The sequence below is a fragment of the Homo sapiens genome, chromosome 12 (assembly GCF_000001405.40).
Source record: "Homo sapiens chromosome 12, GRCh38.p14 Primary Assembly".
Lineage (NCBI taxonomy): Eukaryota > Metazoa > Chordata > Mammalia > Primates > Hominidae > Homo > Homo sapiens.
This window is the reverse complement of record NC_000012.12, coordinates 8451142-8478937: the sequence shown is the minus strand read 5'-3', so window position 1 is coordinate 8478937 and position 27796 is coordinate 8451142. Positions and strand designations below refer to the sequence as shown.

Below are 27796 nucleotides of genomic sequence, written 5' to 3'. Positions count from 1 at the left end.
TTTAATATCAGGAGAAAAATTAAAGCCAAAGGCATTACTAAATTTAAAGAAAGTGACTCCACAATGATAAAAAAATTAATTTGCCATGTACAAGTAATAATTATAACATTGTATATACCTCATCATGGCTTAAATATACAGGTATCTCTTTCTATAAGAAGCTTTAATATCCAAATATTTGCTAAATTAATTTAAAAAATTGTTGTGCCAAATTTCTATTCAAGGGGGAAAAATGTGTTAGAATCTACATATGCATCACAGTTACAACTATTCAAGTTGCTCATGAGTCCAGGTGAGAAGATGTTCAGTACTACCAACTTCCCAATCCTTTCCCAATTGCTTATCCCTTTATAGGCTCCTACTGCCAGATTCTTCTGAGTATCAATCAATATAGGCTCAATTTGGATGATGGGATTCTTCTTTATATTATGGTATTTTCAGTGCAATGGAAAAGAATAACATAATTTGTATCATATATCATGCAACTGTTGCATATAGTCATGCCCACCAATAAGTTTAATATGCACTAAATAATTAGGTAATTTGTTTTAAAGTATGTTATGCAGAAATCCTTTGTGGATACAGATTAATGACCATTTTGGTAGTTGTTTGGAAAATTTGTTGAGGTTTTTATATAACATAAAAATAAACTGTCATTATCATTGCCATTTAAAATGATGGATTACAGGCTCTAGTTATCTCAAACTTTGCTAACCATCATATTTTCAGGAATAGATTAGATTTGGGTAACAAGAAATGCTTGCAAGCAAAGAAAGATTTGACAAAATTTAAATGAGAAATAGACAAATTCCCAATCAGCGAGAGATCTTAACACATATTTCTCAGAAATAAAACAAATAAACCAAGAATACAGGATATAGCAGTATCGAACACCCTGCTTGCCAAACTTGATTGAATCAACATATATAAAATGCCAAATCCCTAACTGCAGAATAAAATTTATTTCCAGGTTACATTAATAGCCAACACCAAGTTGCCAGCCATGTGAGTGAGCCATCTAGAAAACATGTCTTTCAACTCTTGTCAGGCCTTCAGATGATTGTAGTTCCAACTACCATCTTGACCAAAAAGATTTCTTTATGGTATATTGAGGAAGGAAAGTCATAATTTTCAAAAGATACTGCCTTATAAATCTTCTAACAAACAAAATAGTACAGTCTCTGAAACAATAAATATTTGTGTAATGAAGTGTGAAGAAAGAAAAAAATGAATAACAAGTGAAAGAATGGAACAAAGAGAGGAAGGGTGCATTCTATCATTAATGGAAAAGAGGAAACGAGAAGATTGATTAAAGGGAAACAGGTATCTTTCCATTTCTGTGAACCTCTATAACATAAGGATTATGTGTAAATTCAGGAAGAAATTATCATTTCATGATAGGGTTCAATTTTAAAGACGTCAGGGAAAAAATTACGTCAGTAATTCTTCTCTTCTTTCCAATTAAGCTTCTACTCATAGGTAAATCTTATTCATCTCACATATTGAATTCCTTCTAGTTTCACAGATAACATCATTCCAGCCCCATCCTGTAGGTTTCCAGAAGACTATTGAAGCACATTGCTCTGCAGAATGATTGGGCTCACCTAGGTGCCAAAATCTAAAGGAAAACAAAAAGGTAGTACACATCTTCAAAGAATGCATGGTGAATGATTAGAAAGTATAAAAGTCTGGGGTGAACAAAGTGGGATTTAGGAAGAGAGAACATTCCAATGATTGTTCCTTCTTCTCATACTACTCTCCTCAAATCCTCAAGTATGGACACATACTTTTACACTTGCTCCTTTAACATTCTGCTGGCAAAATTTTATGAGATGGTTTATTCCTAGATCTTTCCGCTGCAATCATCTTCCTCTTTACAGAGCCTTTATGCTGGCGGGGTTATTAAATAATTTCCTTCTTACTGACATGAAATAAAGAGGCTATCTCCTTACATCTATGTATTCTTATCACCTTCCTAAGCTTCTTTATTCTCATGGATCTGCCTTAAGTGAATCTTAGGATGCCTGAATCTGGATGTAAAAGTTACCCTGCCTCCAGGGAATACGTTCTGGGTAAAGACTGGGAGGTTGGACATAACTTTTGGAATTACAAGACCTGGTTTTGATACTCACTCATTTTGATCATGGGGAAGTAATTCAATCTCCCCAGGTATTAGATTCCTCATCTTTAAAAATGGGAATTATAATAAGGTCCCTAACTAACTCACAAGATTTTGGAAGAATCAAATAAGATAATGTATAACTGAATTCTATTTTAAAGCCACAAGTAAATAGTATTATTATGTAATTTTTCTACTAAAATTGTACATAGTTCTGACCCAGATATTTTAAGTTTTATTAATTAGAGATCAGTTTAAGTGTCTACTTGTGTTTAGAAACAGCAAAATATAATAGTTTAGAGCACCATCTCTGGAATCAGATAGACATGGAGTTGACATCCAGTTTCTCATCTTATTAGTTTATTGATTTGGGGCAAGTTATTTAATTTTTTATCTGTAAAATTAGTTCATAAAAAGAGAAGTTTTCATGAAGTTTAAGTGAGATAATGCATATCCTTAGTAATGCTTAATAATTGTTAGATCCTGTTATCATAATTACCAATATTAACATTATTAGTAACTCCTAACAAAATTTCCCTAGATTTTCTATGTAAACAAGGCCCCAGAACTGCACTCACCTGACATTTTTCTCATAAGGTGTCTTATCAATCCATTGCCAATTATTATTACCTTGTGGGTCTGAAAGCCCCAGAAAATAAGAAAATGACTCATTCAGCTGCTGGACAATGAAATTCTGCATGAAGGAAAAAAAAGGAGTCAAAGACTTTGGTATTTCCAGATTGAACAGAGTAAAGGTTGCTTATAGCCTTCAGAGCTATTCTTTAGAAGAAAACACAAGGTGCAAGGAGCAGTCACATGATGGCCTTCTGACCAGGAGTACAGGCCAAAAGTAACAATATCATTACAGGGAAGAAACAGTCCTAATACAGGAATTCTTGTCTCAGAATTTCATTCTTTTCTTTACCAAGAAACAGAATTGTCTTTAAATGTACATAAATTTAGTTTTGTGTTTTCAATCTTTTTTTTTATTTTATATGTTGAGATGGTGTAATGGCTAATTCTATGCATCAATCTGACTGGGCCAAGGGGTGACCAGATGAGAGTTAGGGTGTTTTCAGATGAGATTAGCATTTGAATTGGTAAGCTCAGTAGTAGATTGCCCTCCCCAGTGTGGGTATGCATTAGCCAATCTGTTCAGGACCTGAATAGAACAAAAGGCAGAGGAAGGAGGAATTCATCCATATTTTTATTTCTTCCTGCCTGCCTGCTGCTTGACCTAAGACATCAATCTTTTACTAGCCTTGGACTAGATTTACACCATTGGTTCCCCTGGATTTCAGGCCTTTGAACTCAAACTGGACCTACACCACCAGCTTTTCTAGGTCTCCTACTTCCAGATGGCAGACTGCAGGACTTCTTAGCCTACGTAATCATGTGAGCCTATTTTTTCATATAAATCTTTTCATATATACATATGAGTGTGTGTATAGACACACACACACACACACACACATACATATATATATATATAGAGAGAGTTTTTCTGGAGCACGTTGACTGCTAAGATGTGTTCCATATTAATTTCCTACTGTTTTTCAGTGAAATTGCATTGGGGTTCTTAAAATACAAATTTGTTTCTCTACTCCCCTGAGTACTTCTTCCCTAGAAAGTAGCAAATTACTAACCATCATTCTCAGTAAACTATCACAAGGACAGAAAATCAAACACCACATGTTCTCACTCATAGGTAGGAACTGAACAATGAGAACACTTAGACACAGGGCGGGGAACATCACACACTGGGGCCTGCGTAGGGTAGGGGGCTAGGGGAGGGAAAGCATTAGGAGAAATACCTAATATAAATGATGAGTTAATGGGTGCAGCAAACCAACATGGCACATGTATACCTATGTAACAAACCTGCACGTTGTGCACATGTACCCTAGAACTTAAAGTATAATTTTAAAAAAAAGAAAGAAAGTAGCAAATTACTTGGAAAAGTTAAACATAATAGAGAGCTCACTAGGTTTTAACTATAGTCGATTTATTTATTTCATAAAAAATAATTCTTCTCATCTTTCCAATTAAGCTTCTAAAATACCTTTAGCTATGTCCAGATTGTTTTCCTATAAGTAACTTTATCAAGGCAAATGGAAATTAATTTTGAATTGAACCTGAAGGCTTAACAAGTATTTGTTGTGTATTGCCCCGAGGCTTCCTGACATAACCTAATATTCCAGGGTGGGGAGTAGTGCTTCTCAGCCAAAAATGTTACATACTAAATAAGAAAGTTTTCCTGGTATTAATTTGTATTTTTAAAAGTACCTGCTCAAAAGAACAAAGCCAGACACATCACATTACCCAACTTCAAACTATACTATAAGGCTACAGTAACCAAAACATTAGAGTACTGCTACAAATATAGACACATAGACCAATGGGACAAAATAGAGAATCTAGAAATCAAGCCAAACATCTGTAGCCATCTGATCTTTGACAAAGTTGACAATAGAAAGCAGTAGAGAAAGAATTCCCTATTCAATAAATGGTGCTGGATAGCTGGGTAATCATATGCCGAAGAATAAATCTGAACCCCTACCTTTCACCATAGACAAAAATTAACTCAAAATGGATTAAAAGTTTAAGTATATGACCTCAAATATAAGAATCCTAGAAGAAACCCTAGGAACCACCATGCCGGACATCAGCCTCAGGAAAGAATTTATGACTAAGTCCTCAAAAGCATTTGCAATGAAAACAAAAATTCTCAAGTGGGACCTAATTAAACTAAAATGCTTCTTAGCAAAAGAAACTATCAATGGAGCAAACAGGCAACCTACAAAATATGAGAAATATTCACAAATTACACATCCAGCAAAGGTCTAACATCCAGAATCTATCTGGAACTTGAACAATTGAACAAACAAGAAACAAACAACCCCATTAAAAAATGGGCAAAAGACATAAACAGACACTTCTCAAAAGAAGATATATAAGCAGCCAACAAACATAAGAAAAAATGCACATCTCTAATCATGAAAAAAATGCAAACAAAAAGCACAATGAGATACCATCTCACAGCAGTCAGTATGGCTATTACTTAAAAGTCAAAAACAGCACATGCTGGAGAGGCTGTAGAGAAAAGGGAACACTTACATACATTGCTGGTGGGAATGCGAATTAGTTCAGCCTCCATGGAAAGCAATTTGGAGATTTCTCAAAAAACATAAAACAGAAGTACCATTCAACCCAGAAATCCCATTACTAGGTATATATCCAGCAGCAAATGAACCATTTCACCAAAAAAAGTATGTACTCATATGTTCATTGCAATGGTATTTCCAATAGTAAAAACATGGAATCGACCTAGGTGCCTATCAATGGTGAATTGGATAAAGAAAATATAATACATATACACCATGGAATACTATATAGTCATTAAAATGATTTAAATCATGTCCTTTGCAGCAACATGGATGCAGCTGGAGGCCATTATCCTAAGTGAATTCACACAGGAACAGAAAACCAAATACCACATGTTCTCACTTATAAGAAGTAGGAGCTGGCCGGGCGCGGTGGCTCACGCCTGTAATCCCAGCACTTTGGGAGGCCGAGACGGGCGGATCACGAGGTCAGGAGATCGAGACCATCCTGGCTAACACGGTGAAACCCCGTCTCTACTAAAAATACAAAAATTAGCCGGGCATGGTGGCGCGTGCCTGTAGTCCCAGCTACACAGGAGGCTGAGGCAGGAGAATGGCGTGAACCCGGGAGGCGGAGCTTGCAGTGAGTCGAGATCGCGCCACTGCACTCCAGCCTGGGCGACAGAGCGAAACTCCGTCTCAAAAAAAAAAAAAAAAAAAGAAGTAGGAGCTAAACACTGAGTACTCATGGATATAAACTTAGCAAAAATAGATACTGGGGACTAGTAGAGGAGGAAGGGAGAGGGAATGGAATGGGGTAATGGTTGAAATACTAACTATTGAGTACTACACTTAGGACCTGGGTAACAGGATCAGTTGTACCCCAAACCTCAGCATTGTGCAATATACCCATATAACAAACATGAACATGTACTTTCTAAATCTGAGACAGAAGTTGAAATTAATTTTTAAAAGTACATGTTCCACTGATGTCAGTAAGATGGCAGAATATAAAGCCCCATGCCCTAGTTCCCCCATGAAGACACTGACTTAATATATGAACCAAATTGCCTTTGTAAACTTCAGAAAATAGTTAAAAGTTTACAGCACCACTGGTAAGACCAAAGCCAAGAAAACTGGCATTGAAGCAGGTAAGAAAGTTTGCTGCATTTACTTGCCATAATCCTTCCTCATACTGGGGCACAATGCAATAGAGAAAAAACTCCCATCTCTAAGCATCTCTCTTGGAAGGGAAAGAGAAGAGTGAAACATGCATCAGTTTTCTGGCTTTCCAGGGGACTGCCTTAGGGACTGGTTTCTGTCACACCTAATTCAGACTGCTAATAGGAAACACAACATATTTGGGATACTTGGTGGTGGCTGAGAACGAAAGCAAGCATGGCAGCTTATTACTGCTCTAAAGAGACTGGTACTGCATATAGACACCAGGTAAAGCAAGAGAATACAAGCTCCTAAAAATGAAACCTGTGTAAATTACTTTATCTGGAAAAGTACACACACAGATCCAGAGAAGATGCATCACCAGAAAAAGTTTGAGAGACTCCTGGAATCTATACCCAGGCTGATTGGTGAAGGTCTGTATGAAGCCAGACAATAAACACTAGAATAGGTGTTTTTTTGATGCCTAAATGTAAACAAAAGATCTCAAGATGTACAATGAAACAACAAAAAAGGCTAAATTAAAGGAACAAAATAAATCTCTAGACACTGTCTTAATCAAACTGTCAAAAGTCAGAGAGAAAGAATGTTAAAAGCAGCAAGAGAAAAGTGCTCATCATGTACAACCAAGCTCCTATAACTGTCAGCAGATTTCTCAGTGAAACCTTGCAGGACAGAAGGGACTGTTATGATACATTCAAAATACTGAAAAAAATAAAATCAGCCAACTAAGAAAATTGTATCTGGGAAAACTATCATTCAAAAGTGAAGAAGAGAAAGGGAGAAATAGACACCACCATAATAAGTGGGAGCTAAGCTATGAGTAGGAGACATTGACAAATGCTTATCTAGACTAAGTAAGAAAAAGGAAAGAAGATTCAAATGACTAAAATGAGATGTGAAATAGAAGATATTACAAAATATCTGCAGAAATAAAAGGGATTATAAGAGACTACTGAGAACAATTATATGCCAATAAATTAGGTAACAGAAGAAATTCATAGAATTCTAGAAACATACCACCTGCCAAGACTGAATGATAAAGAAATAAAAATCTGAATAGATCAATAACTAGTAGGGAAATTAATCTGTAATCAAAACCTCCCAACAAAAAAAAGCCCAGAATCAGAAGGCTTCACTGGTGAATTCTACCATACATTTAAAGAAGAATTAACACTAATCCTCCTGAAACAATATCAAAAAATCGAAGAGGAGGAAATATTTCTGAACTCATTTGATGAGATCAGCATTTTCCTGGTATCAAAACTAGAAAAAGATACTATGAAAAAACAACAGACTAATGTGTCTGATGAATACTGATATAAAAACTCTCAGCAGAATACTACAAACCACTCCAATAATATACTAAAAGGGTTACACACAATGACAAACTGGGATTTATTTCTGGAATGTAAAAATTGTTCAACACATGAAAATCAATGTAATAAACCACATTATGAAAATTAAGAACAAAAACCACCTGATTACCTCAATTGGTGCATAAAACCCATTTGACAAAATACAACATCCTTTACTAATAAAAACACTCAGCAAACAAGGAACAGAAGGAAAGTATCTCAACATGATAAAAGTCATATATATAAATCCCATGACTAACATCATACTCAATTTTTTTTATTTCAATATGTTTTGGGGGAACATATGGTGTTTGGTTACATGAATAAGTTCTTTAGTGGTGATTTCTGATATTTTGGTGCACCCATACCTAAGCAGTGTACACTGTACCCAATGTGTAGTCTTTTATCCCTCACCCATTTCTCACACTTTCCCCTGACTCCCCAAAGTCCATTATATTATTCTTATGCCTTTGCATCCTCATAGCTTAGCTCCCACTTATGAGTGAGAATATACGATGTTTGGTTTTCCATTCCTGAGTTACTTCACTTAGAATAATGGTCTTTAATTCCATCCAAGTTGCTGCCAATGCCATTATTTCATTTCTTTTTATGGCTGAGTAGTATTATAGACAAATGACAGGCATTTGGGCTGGTTTCACATTTTTTCAATTGTGAATTGTGCTGCTATAAACATGCATGTACAAGTATCTTTTTCATATAATGACTTATTTTCCTCTGGGTAGATACCCAGTAGTGGGATTGCTGGATCAAAGGTAATTCTGCTTTTAGTTCTTTAAGGAATCCCCACAATGCTTTCCACAGTGGTTGTACTAGTTTACATTCCCACCAACAGTAAAAGTATTCCCTTTTCAGCACCTCTACACCAACATCTATTATATTTTGATGTTTTGATTATGGCCATTCTTGCAGGAGTAAGGTGGTATCACATTGTGGTTTTGATTTACATTTCCCTGATCATTAGTGATGTTGAGCATTTTTTCATAAGTTTGTTGGTCATTTGTATATCTTCTTTAGAGAATTGTCTATTCATGTCCTTAGCCCACTTTTTGATGGGATTGTTTGTATTTTTCTTGCTGATTTGTTCAAGTTCATTGAAGATTCTGGATATTAGTCTTTTGTTGAATGTAGAGATTGCAAAGATTTTCTCCTACTTTGTGTGTTGTCTGTTTACTCTGCTGATTATTTCTTTTGCTGTGCAAAGCTTTTTAGTTTAATTAAGTCTCAGCTATTTATCTTTGTTTAGGTTGCATTTGCTTTTGGGTTCTTGGTCATGAAGTCTTTGCCTAAGCCAATGTCTAGAAGGGTTTTTCCAATGTTATCTTCTAGAATTTTTATGGTTCCAGGTCTTAGATTTAAGTCCTTGATCCACCTTGAGTTGATTTTTGTATAAGATGAGAAATCAGGAGCCAGTTTCATTCTTCTACATGTGGCTTGCCAATTATCCCACCACGGTTTGTTGAATAGGGTGTCCTTTTCCCACTTTACGTTTTTGTTTGCTTTGTTGAAGATGTTGACTGTAAATATTTGGCTTTATTTCTGGGTTCTCTATTCTGTTCCATTGGTCCATGTGTCTCTTTTTATACCAGTACCATGTTGTTTTGGTGAATACGGCCTTATAGTATAGTTTAGAGTTAGGTAATGTAATGCCTCCAGATCTGTTCTTTTTGCTTAGTCTTACTTTGGCTATGCAGCATCTTTTTTGATTCCATATGAATTTTAGGGTTTTTTTTTTCTAGTTCTGAGAGGAATGATGGTGGTACTTTTATGGAAATTACATTGAATTTGTAGACTGCTTTTGGCAATATGGTCATTTTAACAATATTGATTCTAATCATCCATGAGCATAGGATGTGTTTCCATTTGCTTGTGTCATCTGTGATTTCTTTCAGCAGTGTTTTGTAGTTTTCCTTAGAGAGGTCTTTCACCTCCTTGGTTAAGTAAATTCCTAAATATTTTTGTTTTGCAGCTACTGTAAAAGGGGTTGAGTTCTTGATTTGATTCTCCACATGGCCACTGATAGTATATAGCAGAGCTACTGATTTGTGTACATTAATTTTGTATCCTGAAACTTTGCTGAACTCATTTATCAGTTTTAGGAACTTTTTGGATGAGTCTTTAGGGTTTTCTAGGTATAACCATGTCATCAGCAAACAGCAATTGTTCAACTTCCTTATTACCAATTTGGATGCCCTTTGGTTTTTTTCTCTTGTCTGATTGCTCTGGCTAGGACTTCCAGTACTATGTTGAATAAAAATGGTAAGAGTGGGCATCCTTGTCTTGTTTCAGTTCTCAGGGGGAATGATTTTAACTTTTCCCTGTTGAGTATAATGTTGGCTGTAGGTTTGTCATAGATGACTTTTATTACCTCAAGCTATGTCCCGTCTATGCTGATTTTACTGAGGGTTTTAATAATAAAGATATGCTGGATTTTGTCAAATGGTTTTTCTGGGTCTATCGAGATGATCATATAATTTTTGTTTTTAATTCTGTTTATATGGTGTATCACGTTAATTGACTTGCAGATATTAAACCATCCTTGCATCCCTGGATCATACTAAATTTTGAGAAATTAAAAGCTTTTCCTCTAAGATTCAGAACAAGGCAAGAATGCCTAATCTCATCACTTCTTTTCAACATAGTACTGGAAGTCCTAGCCAGAGCAACTTGGCAAGGAAGAGAAAAAAATTATCCAAATAAGAAAGGAAGAAGTAAAATTGTCTCTGTTCACAGATGACATAATCTTATATGTAACAAACCCTAAATATTCAACAAAAAATCTGTTAGAACTCATAAGCAAATTCAGCAGTTTCAGAATGCAAAATCAATGTAGAAAAAATAGTATCATTTCTAAACACTAAAAATAAACAATCTAAAAAGAAAATTGAGAAAATAATCCCATTTAAAGTAGCATCAAGGCCACATGTGGTGGCTCACGCCTGTAATCCCAGCCCTTTGGGAGGCCGAGGTGGGTGGATCACTTGAAGTCAGGAGTTCAAGACCAGCCTGGCCAACATGGTGAAACCCTATCTCTACTAAAAATACAAAACATTAGCTGGGCATAGTGGCTCATGCCTGTAATCCTAGCTACTTGGGAGGCTGAGGCTGGAGAATCATTTGAACCTGGGAGGCAGAGGTCACAGTGAGCCAAGATCACACCACTGCACTCCAGCCTGGTGACAGAGCAAAACTCCGTCTTGGGGAAAAAAAAAAAGCAAAATAAATAAAGTAGCATCAAAAATAATAAAATACTTAGAAATAATCTTAACCAAGGAGGCAAAGCACTTGCACTATAAAAACTACAAAACATTGATAAAGGAAACCAAAGAGGACACAAATCAATGGAAATACATCTCATGTTTAATGATTGGTAGGCTTAATATAGTTAAAATGCAATCTAAAGAGTCAATGTGATCCCTACCAAAATCCCAATGTTATTTTTTGCAGAAAGAAAGAAAATTCTAAAGTTCATATGGAATATCAAGAAATCCCTAATAGCCAAAATAACCTTGAAAAAGAACAAAGTTGGATGCCTCACACTTCCTGATTTCAAAATATCTTCCAAAGCTACAGTAATCGAAGCAGTGTGGTGCTGGCATAAAGACAGACATAGAGACCAATGGAACAGAATAGAGAGTCCAGAAATAAACACTCACATATATGGTCAAATAGTCTCCAACAAGGTGCCAATACCACACAATGGGGAAAGACAATCTCTCTTTAACAAATGGAGCTAGAAATACTGGATATCCATAGGCAAAATAATCAAGTTGAATCCTTACCTTACGTCATATAAGAAATTAACTCAAAATGTTTTAAAGACCTAAACAAAGGCCTAAAACTGTAAAACTCCAGGAAGAAAACATAAGCAAAAAGATTCATGACATTGAAATTAGCAATGTATTGGATATGAAACCAAAATCATGGGGAGCAAAAGCAAAAAAATAGACAAATGGAACTCCACCAAACTAAAAACTTCTACAAAGCAAAGGAAACAATCAACTAAGGAAAAGACAGCCTAAGGAATAAAAGAAAATACTTGCAAACCATATATCTGGTAAGGGGTTAATATCAAGAATATATAAGGAACACCTCCAACTCAACAACAATAAAACAAATAACACAGTTAAAAAGAGGGCAAAGGACTTGAATAGACATTTCTCCAAAGAAGATATACACATTGTCAACAGTACGTTTTAAAAGTTGCCAGTCGGGTGAGGTGGCTCACGCCTGTAACCCCAGCACTTTGGGAGGCCAAGGCAGGTGGATCACGAGGTCAGGAGTTCAAGACCAGCCTGACCAAGATGGTGAAACCCATCTTTACTAAAAATACAAAAATTAGCCAATCGTGGTGGCAGGCACCTGTAAGCCCAGCTACTCGGGAGGTTGAGGCAGAGAATTGCTTGAACCCGGGAGGCAGATGTTGCAGTGAGCTGAGATTGCGCCACTGCACTCCAGCCTGGGCAACAGAGCGACACTCTGTCTCAAAAAAAAAAACAAAACAACACTTGCTCAACATCACTAATCATTAAAGGAATACAAATCAAAATCACAATGAGATATTACCTCACATCCATTAGGATTGTCACTATTCAAAAAGCAAAACAGAAAATAACAAGTGTTGACCAGAATGTGAAGTGAGACCCTTGGATACTCTTGCTGGTGATGTTAAATGGCACAGTCATCATGAAAACAGTATGAAGGTTCCTCAAAAAATTAAAAATAGAACTAACTTGTGATCCAGCAATCCCACTTGTGGGTATATATCCAAAGAATTAAAAGCAAAAACTCTAAAAGATTATTTGCCCACCCACATTCATTGCACAATTATTCACAATAGCTGCAAAGTGGAAGCAACCTAAGTGACAATTGACAAGTAAATGAATGGAAATGTAGCATCTTATGTGTTCTCACCACAAAAAAGGAGAAAAAGAAGGCTAAATATATGAGGTAATAGATATATTAATTAGCTTGATTGTGGTAACCATTTCACAATATATTTGTATATCAAATCATCACAGTGTACACCTTAAATATATACTACTTTTGGTGGTCAGTCACACTTCAATAAACCTGGAAAATAAGAAATCAAATAAAACAAAGAAACAAAAAACAAGTGTTAGATACACATACAATGGAATGTTATTCAGCCCTAAAGTGAAAGAAAGTCCTGTCATATATGAGAACATGGACGAATCTTGTGGATATTATACTAAATGAAGTAGGTTATTCAAAAAATGACAAATACTATATAATTTCACTTATATTAAGTATTTAAAATAGTCAAACTCATAGAAACAGAAAGCAGAGGAGTGATTGCCAGGGCTTTCAGGGATGGGGAAATGGGTAGTTGTTGTTCAATGGGTGGGGAGTTCCAGTTTTGCAAGATGAAAAAGTTCTAGAGATCTGTTACCCAGTAATGTGAAAATAGTAAATGCTACTGAACAGTACACTGAAAAATGGTTATGACAGTAAATTTTATATTGTGTGTTTTCTCTACAATTAAATAAATTTTAAATGGAAACAGTACCTGCTCTGCTTCTGTGTTGAACACAACCAAATGTGCTCCCATCTCAACACAGTTCTGCTCACTCTTAGACCAAACCTTCTCTTCACTGGAAATGAAGTAGCAACTGGAACCAAATGACTTCCAAGAAGCTGGGCAACATCCCCAGGCTATTTTTGTGTTACATGAAAAAAAAGAGTGAGTGCAAGATAAGATAAATGAGATTAATGATCTGCAATTGCTTTGTAGAGACAGTTTCTTAATTCACGTTTTTACTGTTTCCTGAATTATAGAATTTGGGTTCCTAGAATTGATTTCACATAAACATTCTTTAGCATTAAGTCCTCAATATTTACTAAAGTTTACCTGCAGAATTTCTCCCAATTTTCTTTTTTGCAAAAAAAAAAAAAGTCACTATTGAGTTTTGTTTTTCATGTCCCTTATACATTATCAGCACCAAGTCCTCTTAGAATTTTAAACGACTAACACAGACGAACCTAGAAACCCAGTTCTGCTCAGTAATCTTGGGCAAGCCACAGAGCCTTAGGTTTTCAAAATGGTAACTATTCACAAGTTGGTTATGAGAATTAGAATTGTGCCTCATTAGAATTCCATTTATCATGTATGTCTTTGAGCAAATTCATAACCTTCTTGAGCCTCAATGATTCCATCTCTAAAATGGAAATAATAATAGTGCCAACCTCACAGGGGGACTTAATCACATAAAATGTATAAAGCATTTTAAAAGGTGCTTAACATAGAATAATTGCTCAATAAATGTTACCTATTACTAATTTTCACACAGTATTAAATGCTTTAAGCATCTTAAACAATTAGCAGTTCTCTTCCCTTACAAGTACCAGTTTGCCACTCTTCTAGGATTAAAGAAATCCATAGCTAGCCATATACAAATCCACTGATATATTTTATATCAATATGATTTTGATTAAGTATAATTTAAACAAATATATATGTATGCCTAAATAGTAAATTGTTTAGATTTGTTTTGTTATGAAATTTTAGGCCAGGCGCAGTGGCTCATGCCTGTAATCCCAGCACTTTGGGAGGCCGAGGCGGGCGGATCACGAGGTCAGGAGATCAAGACCATCCTGGCTAACAAGATGAAACCCCGATCTCTACTAAAAATACAAAAAGAAATTAGCCAGGTGTGGTGGCGGACGCCTTTAGTCCCAGCACTCTGGAGGCTGAGGCAGGAGAATGGCGTGAACCCAGGAGGCGGAGCTTACAGTGAGCCGAGATTGCACCACCGCACTCCAGCCTGGGCGACAGAGAGAGACTCCGTCTCAAAAAAAAAAAAAAGAAAAAGAAAGAAATTTTAAACAGCAATGATAAGATATGTGATCTTCTTGGGCTTATTTTTTTATTTTGCATTACTAATATTCATCCATGTTATTACATATAGTTCTATTTTATTCATTTTTTTACATAACTATATCATTACATATTAAGTGATTAAAAACCAAAAATCTTATTCTTCCTTTTATAATGTTATAAAATGAATAAAATAGATTAACCATACCTATATTATTTGCATATTGGCTGCTTTTAGAAATATACCTTCATTGTGCATTCTGCTCATTATTAATGATTGCTTTAATATGTCTCAAAGTATGTATTAACATACGATTTGAATTTTGAAAGTCAAATTTGACTGACTTTGCCAGTTGAGCTATGTACACCAAACATTTTTTGTAAGTTGAACATGTGAAATTGCCAGCTCCAAGGCTGACAAAAAATATTGACAGCTGTGATCAATAAAAGCATCTGTCAAAAGGGTATGCTAACGTTAATAGTATTTTATTTTCTCAATTTATGCTGAGAATAATGAGCTGATCACGTTACTTTGCAAGTGTAGAAAGTAGCAGGTGTAAATCATAATCATTTGATAAGCCTTATTAGAACACTTTTTGGTATACCTTTGAGAAAGCAAATAACTACTGACTGAGAAATAAATCTTTTGCAAAATTATTCTATAATATTTCTTTTTCTTTACTTTCAATAACATTGGGAGTAACCTGATCAAATTCTCAGTTTACAAACCATTATAAATAATTTTTGACAACAGATCACTATATCGTCATAAGCAGATAATGCTGAAAGAATATCCAAAATTGAGTGACATTCAAACAAAGCCTTTTTCATTCTAATTTACTGACTTAGTGAGCAAGATTTTTCAGTTAATGTCATTAAATTGGAAAATAGGAGATGAATTGGTGTTGAATATGTTAGCAACAATATTATAATTACATTCGATAGCATTTTTTCAAAGTTCCACTCATCTCATTAAGATTTAGACTTCCAAGTTTTACTTAATTATTAATGATTTATCAAAATCTATAATAACTTTGTGATGTTTTGATATTGTGTCCTGATAATAATTATGATAGTAAATCAATGCAGAACACATTTTATACCACTCGAAGCCTAATGGGCCACAGGAAATTAAAATATTAGGCATGTTTATCTACATATTTTGACAGATGAGAAAAGTATCATGTAAATTTTAGTTCAAGGGGATAGAAAAATGATGTAAAACATCCAACTGTTAAACAATACATGTTTCTGATTGTTTTAATGGGTGATGGGGGTTAACACTTTGTAATAGTATTTACACCCAAGTAAATACATTTTAAAAGAGAAATAACATTTTTGTTTTTTAAAGTCAATATTTACAATGTTCCAGAAATTAAAGCTTTTGCTTCTATAGCATGATAAAAATCTGATGTCAAATTATGAAGGGGTGGGTTGCCCCTCCACACCTGTGGGTGTTTCTCGTTAGGTGGAACGAGAGACTTGGAAAAGAAAAAGACACAGAGACAAAGTATAGAGAAAGAAATAAGGGGACCCAGGGAACCAGCGTTCAGCATATGGAGGATCCCGCCAGCCTCTGAGTTCCCTTAGTATTTATTGATCATTTTTGGGTGTTTCTCAGAGAGGGGGATGTGGCAGGGTCATAAGATAATAGTGGAGAGAAGGTCAGCAGATAAACACGTGAACAAAGGTATCTGCATCATAGACAAGGTAAAGAATTAAGTGCTGTGCTTTAGATATGCATACACATAAACATCTCAATGACTTACAGAGCAGTATTGTTGCCCGCATGTCCCACCTCCAGCCCTAAGGCGGTTTTCCCCTATCTCAGTAGATGGAACATACAATCGGGTTTTATACCGAGACATTCCATTGCCCATGGACGGGCAGGAGACAGATGCCTTCCTCTTGTCTCAACTGCAAAGAGGCATGCCTTCCTCTTATACTAATCCTCCTCAGCACAGACCCTTTACGGGTGTCAGGCTGGGGGACGGTCAGGTGTTTCCCTTCCCACGAGGCCATATTTCAGACTATCACATGGGGAGAAACCTTGGACAATACCTGGCTTTCCTAGGCAGAGGTCCCTGCGGCCTTCCGCAGTGTTTGTGTCCCTGGGTACTTGAGATTAGGGAGTGGTGATGACTCTTAAGGAGCATGCTGCCTTCAAGCATCTGTTTAACAAAGCACATCCTGCACAGCCCTTAATCCATTTAACCCTGAGTTGACACAGCACGTGTTTCAGAGAGCACGGGGTTGGGGGTAAGGCTACAGATTAACAGCATCTCAAGGCAGAAGAATTTTTCTTAGTACGGAACAAAATGGAGTCTCCTATGTCTACTTCTTTCTACACAGACACAGTAACAATCTGATCGCTCTTTCTTTTCCCCACAAAATTAAACTGTATTGGAGGGCATATATGTTTTCAAAATCCTTTTTGGGGGTTGACAAGCAAAACAGTCAAAACTGGCCTAGGTCGAGTGCAGGTGGATTGAAGGAACTCTAGCTCTTCGTATGCAGCTGAAAGTCTCCACACTCTGACTAAAACTGAGTGGGAAACAAACTGAAGAAGATACAATGTGGATTTCAATTATTTTTTAACGTTAATCAAAATGGAAATTTTGTGTATGGACTTTTATTTTTATTTTTCATTGTAATGATCATTTGAAAGGATGTTGTTAAAATTGGAGCACTTTTATTTGCTGACATGGTATTATACAAAATAATTGTATTTTATCACATAAGCTTTTCTGTAACTTTAAGTAGTTGTATTGAACAGCTTGGCTGGTCATTTACATTGGATATACTTAGGGGGCAAATGAACAGTCTCTTATGCCAGATGGATATGGAGTTAATTTAATTAATATCCATCTCTGTCCCATTTCAGGGCATTCTGAAGGCAAAAGCTAAGGTGCCCATTGTTGTTTCCAGGAAAATATTCATTCAAATGCTAGTTGTTGAAACAGTGTTCCACATAGGTGAGAAGAAAACTATGCACTTTACTTCTCTTTCCCTTTTTCTTTTCTTTTCTTGTTTTTTTTTGACTGTCCTAAATTGCTTATTAGGTATGAATTTTACAAACTTTACTTATGTTAGCGGTAACGGTGGAGCTGGAGAGTATTGCACATTCTCCAATCTGCCAGATGAGAACCACAAATAGTGTGGTGGAACTTATGGCCCTTTCCAAGGCCACGGCTCTTTCAGCCTGCAGATGTCAGCCCACACATCTCCCTGTGCTTGTGGACTGGTTTGGTGATCCACTGGGTGTCAGGATTTCTTCTGATAGCTTTATAGAATGGATCAATGAGGATAACCCCCAAAAATTTTTATGTGGAATCTTCACCAACGCAGTAAGAATTTGGGACTCTTAGAGCCCCACAGTGGCATCCAGCTCGCTCCTCTGCAACAGACTGAAGGTTTGGAGCAAACTTTGGCTGGTTAACACCGTGATAGACAGGCTTGCGGTAAGTTGTACCCTTAGGAACTGGGCGTTTTTGGCCACCAGGGCTAACACGAATCCTATATATAAGGTAACCTTGTTTGGCCTTGTAGCCCAGTCGGCCCGCTTTATCAGGCCAGGTGGGGTGGGGAGCCCTGTGGAGAGCAGAGAGCTGGCGGTACTGCCAGCAGCGGACCCTCAGAAGAAAGCTCATGACATCAGACTGCTTCTTTCTCCATAGCTCCTGGATATACTTGTATGCACCCATCTTGACTTATGTGATGGCTTCCGCCAGACAGAAAGGCTCTTCCCCTTTTCCATGAAGCTGACTGATATGGTTTGGTTCTCTGTCTCCACCCAAATCTCACCTTGAATTGTACTCCCATAATTCCCACGTGCTGTGAGAGGGACCCTGTGGGAGATAATTGAATCTTGGGGGTGGTTTCCCCCTTACTGTTCTCCCGGTAGTGAATAAGTCTCACAAGATCTGATGGTTTGATAAGAGGAAACCCATCTCACTTGGCTCTCATTCTCTCTTCTCTTGTCTGCTGCCATGTGAGATGTGACTTTCACCTTCCACCATGATTGTGAGGTCTCCCCAGCCACGTGGAACTGTGAGTCCAATAAACCTCTTTCTTTTGTAAATTGCCCAGTCTCGGGTATGTCTTTACCAGCAGCATGAAAACTGACTAATACACCAACCATAATCCTAAATTCAACTCTGCCAACTCTCCGCATATGAAGTTAACAACAGTATATTTTGGACAGGCATCAGTCTCATCCTGAACCAATTTGACCAGGAATAAAGCTAGTATTTGGGATGGAGATGGGTAGTATTAATTGGAAACCTTAAATGTCAAAGAAATTATTTTATGATGGAGGGTGAGGGGAATGTAAGAACTGTAAGAATTGTTATAAATAATTTCCAGGGTTGGCCTGAGCAAATTACATGCATGTAGGTTTATAATATTTACCAAGCTCAAGAAGTGTGATGAAGAAATTATTCTGGAGGCATGTCTAGAGCCTGATATGAACATGTATGTTTAGAGAAATTATGAAAATATCCAAGCAGAGGCTTTAATAAAACATACACACACAAATGCACAATAGAATACACCAATCTTGAGCTCAACCCTGATCTCTCCCTGAGAAAAAAGAAAGTCTATTTCAGTATTTTAAAGATTTACCTGGCACCTTTGTCCCTTCACTGAAGCAGGTGAGACTTGAATGATATGAGTGTAGTTCAGACAGCCTTTTGCCAGTTTCACCATATGTAAAATGGTAAGTTACTGTAAAGGAAGAAGAAGGATTAGTGTCCATCTATTATTTTGCTATAAAGCCTTAGGCTCTATATCTGTACAGTGCTGGCTTACCTCTGACCCCCACTGCTGTTTCTCTAGGCAAGCCCCATAAAAACCATGCCAAATTATTATTTGCTTGTATTCACTTATCTTATTTTTTTATATATATCCCTCATTTAATTTTTTGGTCTTTTCACCACTAGAATTTAGGCTCCATGCTCTTGGACAGAGATTCTGCCTGTTTCCCACAACAATTAATCACAAACACAACTTAAAGGTATCAAAACATCTCATGTACCCCGTAAATATATACACCTACTATGTACCCACAATTTTAAATAATAATTTAAAAATATTTTATTATAAAAAAAGAAGGAAGTCTGAAGGTGAAAACTGATAATTTTTTTTAATCACAAACACCTACAAGGGTAACTGTCACAAAGTCATCAATAAATATTTATGGACTCACTGGATGTCTGCTTCTCCTTAGCCTTAATAACCTTGATGCAAGCACACAGGTTATTTTGATGTTTTCTAGATAATTCTAGCTGCAGGTAGCCACACATAAACATATGGGCTAAGTAACCACCAAGGGGAAACTTTAAACGTTTATAAAAATATTTTTAATGTCTCAAATGAACATTAACTTTTATGTTAATGTTCACTTTCAGCAAGACCTTTTATCTCTCAGGATCTGATCTGATTCTTCACTCATTTCTTTTTTGTCCTTCTATAACTAGAGCTCAATACAACCAAATCTTTCTGCCCCGCTCTTAGTTCATGTTTTGAGATCCTGAATTTGTGTTTCTTTTTATGAAATAACTATTCTTAAACCCCCTTCTCTCTTGCACTTGATTATGAAAAGTAAAACAGATTCTAACTTTGGTGATAATTATTTGTATTTTACTAAATATTGTGAGATTTATTTAAATCTCTGAGGGAACTATAGCTACAACCTGATTGACAGGGGAAGTCACTTTCACTCCCTCCCAGACTATTCAATACCCATTTTTAATCACCTTATCAATGAATAGAAATCCAAATTGTGAATCGGAGAGGAAAAAGGTCTTTAAGACTTCTCACACAATGAACTTGAGACATGTATTTGGAGGCAAGCAGAACAGGGAAGAAATATTTTATCCTCTTTATCTCCATCATTTCATTTGAATACTTTTTCCTCTCACATTGGAAAGGATCTGCACATGAATCAAAGAATCTAATATAGAATATGACAATTATGACAGCAATTAGAGTTGCACTCCCAATACAAGAGTTTTGTCACCAGGGAACACACAATTACTAGTGAATCCAGTCCTGAAAGATGGTGTCTTAGATGATGGCTACAATGGACAACATGGATATGTGAGGCCATGATTCAGAAAATGCTAATAAAACCAGGTAAAGTACATCTACAAGAATTCAGTTTTCAAAAGATAGAGGGAGAAAAACAAAGGGAAAAGGAGAAATCAAGGAAAGTGTGGCATTCCAAGTAAGAGCTGACGTATTAATGGGGCAAAGGAGAATATATCCTAGGAAACCTGTATGGAATATTCAAGGGAAAGGAAGCAAGGAAAATGCACCTCAGTGAAGAACTTACCTACACAGCTCACAATGAAGCAAGCACTGAGGAGTGCAATGGAAATCCCAGCCACAGACCAGAGTCTCAGGGACAACCAGCCTCTTTTCTCTGTCCAATCAGGAAGACAACAAATGCAGTTACCAGGGGGCCAGGGAGCCAAAATCCCCAGGAAGCTTACAACAATGAACAAACTAGATGAAGAACCTCAGAGCAGTTAAAAACTTAAAGCAAGAAGACAGCTTACAAACTCCCTCAGAATAAATAACCAGGTAGTAGCTCTGTGGTCCAAAAGAATACAGGTAAAACATACACTCAACCAACTGGAATTTCCATGTCTTTATTCTTTCTTCTAAACTATTACATGTTTCCATTGATTTCGTTTCTCAAAACATCACTTTTGTCTCCCATTTCTCATATCTCTGTATTGATATTTGGTTTCTTCAGTATATCCAAGAGATATCTGCACTCCCATGTTTATTGTAGCACTATTCACAGTAGCCAAGATATGAAAGCAACCTAAGTGTCCATCAACAGATGAATGGATAAAGAAAATGTAGTATAATATATACAATGGCATATTATTCCACCATAAAAAAGAATAAAATCCTGCCATTTGCAACAGCACAGATGGAACCAGAGGACATCGTGTTAAGTGAAATGAGCCAGGCACAGAAAGACAAACATTGCATATTCTGACTCATATGTGGGAGTTAAAAAAATTGATCTCATGGAGGTAGTGAATAGAATGGTGGTTACCAGAGGCCAGGAAGGTTAACTGGGAAGAGAAGATAGAGAAGGGTTGTTTCGTACCTACAAAAATACAATTAGCTAGAAGAAATAAAATCTAGTGTCCCTTAGCACAGCAGGATAACTGTAGTTAACTTTTTTTTTTTTTTGACATGGAGTCTCACTCTGTCACCCAGGCTGAAGCACAATGAGGCAATCTTGGCACCCTGCAACCTCCACCTCCTGGGTTCAAGTGATTCTCCTGCCTCAGCCTCCTGAGTGGCTAGGATTACAGGTGCATGCCACCATGCCCAGCTAAGTTTTGTCTTTTTATTAGAGACGGGATTTCACCATGTTGGCCAGGCTGGTCTCTAACTCCTGACCTCAAGTGATCCACCCACCTCAGCCTCCCAAAGTGCTGAGATTACAGGTGTGAGCCACTGAGCCTAACCCAACAATAATTTATTGCATATGTCAAAATAGCTAGAAGAGTAGATTTGGAATGTTCCAAACACAAAGACATGATAAATATTTGAGGTGATGGATAATGTAATTTTCCAGACTTTACCATTACGCATCATATTCTTGTGTCAAAATATGACATGGAGCCCATAAACATGCACAACTATTTTGTATCCATAAAAAATTTTAATAAAAATTTTTTTAAAACATTATTGATGGACATGCAAAGGGTTGAAGCTAAAGTCAAATTTTCATGCATTAAAAATGGGAAGCTTTTCTCTTACAAAAAAATTAGAAAAGCAAGTACAAAAAAACTTAGGGTAATTGGAAAGAGTACTGCTTCCTGGATTTCAAAATTAGTCAAAAGACTTTGAAGAGCAGACATCCAATAATCAGTTATTTCCCTGTTTACCTTCTATCATGTAAATCTTTTCTGTCTCCCTAAACTATCAATAAAATCTGGTACAAACCTCCCAAAAAATATTTGCTTTCTTATTCTTTCAAGTGCTTATGGCTCTGGCTCTGAAGAATTACTCTTTCTTTCAAATTCCTTTGAGTCTACTATATTGGTCCAATCACTAGCTCTTCAATCTGTTCTTTGGCTACTTCTTCTCTCCAGGTGATCTCATTTCACCATACACTTCCACTTTCCTCTGAAACTGAGGAAATACTCACCTGTACTTTGAGGTTGCTGCTCTTGCATCATTATGCAGGCTCCCTGTGTTGAGAAGGTCCAGGAACCTTTTGTACCTCTCTCCCTAAAGATGTTGCCCAGAGACTCAGCTTCATTTAAAGAAGCTAGAGCTCAGGGACAAACTGCTACACACTCTTATAGGACTAAGAGACTTCCAACATTAAGTGTACCTCAAAAGAAGAAGTCACAATTACAACTAAAGTTTCCAGTGATTTCGATACGTGGGGTTAAAAAAAACAAAAGAGGAATTGAGAAACATTGAAAACCATTCATGAGAACTTTGACAAGAATACTTAGATCATTTCTTCAGTTTCTAACATAAAATTTCTCTGTCTGATTCCTATTCATTCTGGCATGCAAAATAGAAAATTTTTTATCTCCTAAAAGACATCTATTTAGAGAACTTGGTTAAATTAAGTGCTCCCTAACTAACCTTTACATTGGCTGCTTATTTTATGCAAGCCTTAATCCATGTGTTGAACAGTGTCCTAGGTAGTAAGCAAAAGTTTGATTGGATGGATATGGTTTAGATATGAAGGGTAACATAGTAAATAACAAAACCCATGAACATTGTTAAGGAATGTGACTGCAAAATGAAACATTCTGAAATCAGTCTGCAAAGGTGATGAAACATTCTTACTGCATCCAGACTAATATTGGGCAGATGTCAGTGATATTTTGTAATCTCCCTGATTAGGCAAAAGGGAGCCTGAAGTGATATAAAATCAGAAACAGGCTTCATGAATTTTATATTGTAGCACAGAAAATATATGATGTTTTCTTGTCCTCATAGATTCTTAGTAGAGACACTGTCCTGAAAACAAAAGGCAGAGAAACAAGAGAAAAAGCAGCAGTTTATCAATGTGTGTTATACCCATCACTCAGGAGAGAACTCAGTTCAAATGTATTTATCTCTTTCATGGCAGTGGCTTACAGGCCTTGCTTAAATAGTATGTTAACAAACAGCCATAAATCTATGGAGTGCTGAGAACGAAAAAAAAAAAAAACTGTTATTTGAGGAATGTGAGTGCCTTGAAACTATCAAGTCCAGAGTGGACTCATGAGAGAGATATGACAGGAGTCATGCCTCACTGCCACCTTGCACGAAATTTACCTCTTGAAGCCATTTGCTATGTAGGTTCTAGACTAACTGAACCCTAAAATTTAACAGTATACAGCTAATTACTAATCAATGTGGTTTCTGTAAACCAATGATAATTTACTGATGAGTAACTTTTTAATTCACTCCCTCTCCTGATTCATTCTTTTTTTAATTTTTATTTTTCCATAAGTTATTGAGGTACAGGTGGTATTTGGTTACATGAGTAAGGTTTTTAGTGGTGATTTGTGAGATTTTTGTGCACCCATCACCCAAGCAGCATACCCTGCACCATATTTGTAATATTTTATCCCTCATCCCCCTCCCACTCTTCCCCCCAAGTCCCCAAAGTCCATTGTACCATTCTTATACATTTTGTGTCATCGTAGCTTAGCTCCCCATATCATTGAGAACATATGATGTTTGGTTTTCCATTCCTGAGTTACTTCACTTAGGATAATAGTCTCCAATCTCATCCAGGTCAGTGCAAGTGCTATTAATACATTGCTTCTTATGACTGAGTAGTGGTCCATTGTATATCTATACCACAGTTTCTTTATCCACTCATTGATTGATGAGCATTTGGGATGGTTCCATGATTTTTCAGATTCATTCTTTTTTCTTTAAAATCTTCAGTCTTTCCTTTGCTCTCTAGACCACTTCCCAAGGCAACCTACAAGTGTTTTCCTGGGTAGCTGTCCTCATCCTTTGCCCAAATAAACTCTCTATATTAATGTGGCTTCAGCTACTTCCTTTAGGATGATAGTGAAAAGACAAAGAAGAGAGTATCTTCACGATTCCAAAAGGAAATGAAATACAGGAAGGTATTTTAACAGGAAGAGTAAAATCTGCTTCTAAATCCTTTTACAAGTATCGTAAAGGAGCTAATCCTTAGCTGGGAAAAGTAGAAAGGAAGACAGGAAGACCTTTGTCTTTGTAAATTGTTGTTCTGCCAACAGGCAAGAAGAAGGAGGGGAAGAATGTTCTCCTACATTGCCACCTTTTTCAGCTCAACAATTTGCAGTTATCTTAGAGAAGGTTATTTTGGTTTCCTCCAATCATTACCTAAGGGCTTTGAAATACTTAATCATTCACATGCAGTCTCTAAAATGTAGATCATTCTATTAACATCACAAACAGCTCCACATTCTCAAGTGAGCAATCTTGTATACAAGAAAATCTACTAGAATATTGAACTTGTGATATTATAAGAAACATGTATATTTCATTTTTGTTTATCACAGAGCTTCTGAAACCCTAAAACTTCCTGGTTGATAGAAATGATTTGGTTACAATGTTTGGGTTTTGTCCTCAGCTTCTCAACCATGTTCTAGAGTAATAAAGGTGTAAGAAAAATCTTATGTTATCTATTTGTTTTTTGTTCCAAGTTTCTGAAATAGCTCCAGGGCAATAAAAGATGAAAGAAAAAAATTAACAATAGTTACCTAACTGAACATTAAAAAAAAAATTTTAAGATGAAAAGAGAGTCTTTTATGATTCATAACAAGTTTAACCAAGCCTGGTGTCTATGCTCGTGAGGTAACTCTTGATGTTCCCCAAGACTGCTTCAGGATGGGGGCTGGTTGCCAGAGGAACCAACCATGTGACTAGAGGATGGAAACTTTCAGCCCCACTCCTCCGGGGAAGAAAAAGGCCTGGAGATTGAGTTCAGTCACTAATGGCTAATGATGTAACCAACCATGCCTTCATAATAGAGCCTCCATAAAAACCTCTCAACAATGGTTTTAAACTGAACAGGGATTTTTAAAGTGACAAGATAGTTACAGCTATAGCGAATGATGAAATAGACATTGAGTAACAGGATAAAAGCTCAGAAAACTTCCCCAATGGTTAATTTGAGATGCATTTGATCATAAAAGGACAAGAGAGAAGAAGTGGTTATAAGATGTCAACATTTGTTTCCAGTTCCCGTCAGAGACAAAGAAACACAAACCCAAGGATTGAATCACTTGGTGGTCCAGTAAAAGAATGCATTCTCCTCAGCTATCTGGAGGTAAAGTAGTTTAAACACTTCTTTGGTTCTCATCTGTCTCCTATTATGCTCCCCTAATCACGTTCTGGTCTTGACCATTAGCAACCCTATGCTCCATTCTCTTTGCTTCTTTCTATTTATTTGTCCTGTATAAATTTCTAGATTACAGTGACATGCCTTTGAATCAAGAGCGCTGAAATGGTAGGAGCAAAGGCAAAAAGAAGAGATGCACCAATATAAAATATAATATAATATAAAACAAAATCAAGAGAGAGAATGCTAAATCAGAGCAAAAGCAGAATTGTGGGCAGGCTCAGGCCACATCTCCAAACAAACATTAAGTTCTTTGAGCCTGTCCAGGGAGTAATGCAAAAACAAGCAATGGAGAAGATGGGAACTACTAGAGATTGAAAATAAAAGCATATACTAGTATACCAGTAGACAAAGTGAAAATTGTTGTTTTGGCTTGATCTCTTTTAAATGAGATGTGAGAGGTGAACTAACAATATGAACTAAATCCTTTTCCTAAAAGGAGTATTGGGTTGTTCTTTTGAAAACTGGTATCCATGATTGGATCTATCCATGATTGAACTAAGCAGGCACAACTTGATTCTCTTGTATCTGAATTAAGATAAAAACAATTACATCGATTGCTGGTGACAAACATTGCCCCTGGGAGATATTTAGACTCAGATATGAGGTCCACACAAATTAATATAAAATATCCTCAAATACCTGCCCGGCCGCCGCACCGTCTGGGAAGTGAGGAGCACCTCTGCCCGGCCGACCCACTGTCTGGGAAGTGAGGGGCGGAGGTGAGGAGAGCCTCTGCCCCGCGGCCGTGCAACCCTCCAGATGTGAAGTGGCAGCCTTGTTTGTGATCTTTCCGCCCTCCCCAAGTTTGCATTTTTGACAGTAAAGTTTATTTTTAAATTTAAATATACATATATCCTCAAATACACAAGACATATAACATCTCATTATTTTCAATGTATTAGGTTTTTTGTTATTGTTGATTCCTATTACCACTGGATAATAAGAAATTCTTTGGAAGTCATTCTTGGGACTATCCTCTGTCCCTGGGATTATATCAAGATTCTAGAGATTATGTAGATCCAGAAATTGAAGGAGGGAAAAGTGGCAGTTTATTGTTCATGGATCCACACTGGTCACACCTGTACCCTCATGTGCCCCATCCCTCAGTGCCATGATACCTCCCCAATGCTTTGAAGCCGACTTTGTTCTGTTAGTTGTTCTTCGTGCAAGAGTTGGTCTACAACAAGCTAGTTCACCATTACTGGAATTGGGACAGCTCATTTCGGTAACCCTAAATGATTTTGTTTTCCCTTAACCCTTATCAGGGGTTTGGAGTAGTGGAGTTGAGTTGTTGGGAAGTTGAAACCAATCTAGATGAATAATGATTAAACTCTTATGGGCCAATGACCCATGTGAGATTCTGATTAAAGCTTTGACTCTATAACAGGTTATTATTTTCATAAATACATAACAAAAATTATATATATTTTTATCAAAAATTAACTTCATTAACATCAACAGCATAAGCTATTTTTACCAAAAAAAGTGTCTCGTTTTAATTTTTATATAACTATTAAGGTCCTTTCTTTTTACTGTATATCTTGGCTTTTATTTTAGATACAGGGGGTACATGTGTAGGATTGCTCATTGAGTATATTGGACCCAGCTAGTGAGCACAGTACCCAAAAGATAGTTTTTCAAACCTTGCCCCATCCTCCCTCTCCCAACTAGTAATCCACCATGTCTATTGTTTTCATATTTATATCCATGTGTGCTCAGTGTTTAACTCCCACTCATAAGTGAGGACGTGCAGTATTTGGTTTCCTGTTCTGATGTTAATTCCCTTAGGATTAT

The 27796-nt window shown here is 36.6% G+C and overlaps 1 protein-coding gene and 1 pseudogene across 2 annotated transcripts, besides 2 other annotated features; both read right to left on the bottom strand.

Moving 5' to 3' along the window:
- Positions 1 to 607: 607 nt before the first annotated feature.
- On the bottom strand, positions 608 to 22976 carry CLEC6A (C-type lectin domain containing 6A). Of its 2 annotated transcripts, NM_001007033.2 has the most exons (6): positions 22796 to 22976; positions 20951 to 21040; positions 19240 to 19341; positions 13309 to 13454; positions 2698 to 2813; positions 608 to 1618 (listed from the first exon to the last, which is right to left on the bottom strand). In NM_001007033.2, the coding sequence occupies exons 1-6, from the start codon at positions 22824 to 22826 to the stop codon at positions 1474 to 1476; spliced, it is 630 nt and encodes a 209-aa protein (NP_001007034.1). In that variant the 5' UTR covers positions 22827 to 22976; the 3' UTR covers positions 608 to 1473. The 2 variants fall into 2 exon arrangements, with proteins under 2 accessions (NP_001007034.1, NP_001304928.1); NM_001317999.2 differs by lacking the exon at positions 20951 to 21040.
- Positions 15524 to 16515: an enhancer, noted in NCBI's record as "OCT4-NANOG-H3K27ac hESC enhancer chr12:8615019-8616010 (GRCh37/hg19 assembly coordinates)". NCBI's record gives its function as "activates a minimal SCP1, AML or CMV promoter by ChIP-STARR-seq in naive H9 embryonic stem cells {active_cell/tissue: H9 hESC(naive)}" and the evidence as "EXISTENCE:reporter gene assay evidence [ECO:0000049][PMID:30033119]".
- Positions 16516 to 17505: an enhancer, noted in NCBI's record as "OCT4-NANOG-H3K27ac hESC enhancer chr12:8614029-8615018 (GRCh37/hg19 assembly coordinates)". NCBI's record gives its function as "activates a minimal SCP1, AML or CMV promoter by ChIP-STARR-seq in naive H9 embryonic stem cells {active_cell/tissue: H9 hESC(naive)}" and the evidence as "EXISTENCE:reporter gene assay evidence [ECO:0000049][PMID:30033119]".
- On the bottom strand, positions 17655 to 18356 carry RPL15P17 (ribosomal protein L15 pseudogene 17; annotated as a pseudogene).
- Positions 22977 to 27796: the final 4820 nt, after the last annotated feature.

Excerpts from the sequence above, each read along its gene's own strand:
- CLEC6A (NM_001007033.2), bottom strand. The coding sequence starts at position 22,826 with ATGATGCAAGAGCAGCAACCTCAAAGTACAG. Across the intron at positions 21,041-22,795 it reads GCAGCAACCTCAAAGTACAG|AGAAAAGAGGCTGGTTGTCC; the intron begins GTGAGTATTTCC and ends CTGATTGGACAG. Across the intron at positions 19,342-20,950 it reads CTTCATTGTGAGCTGTGTAG|TAACTTACCATTTTACATAT; the intron begins GTAAGTTCTTCA and ends CTTCCTTTACAG.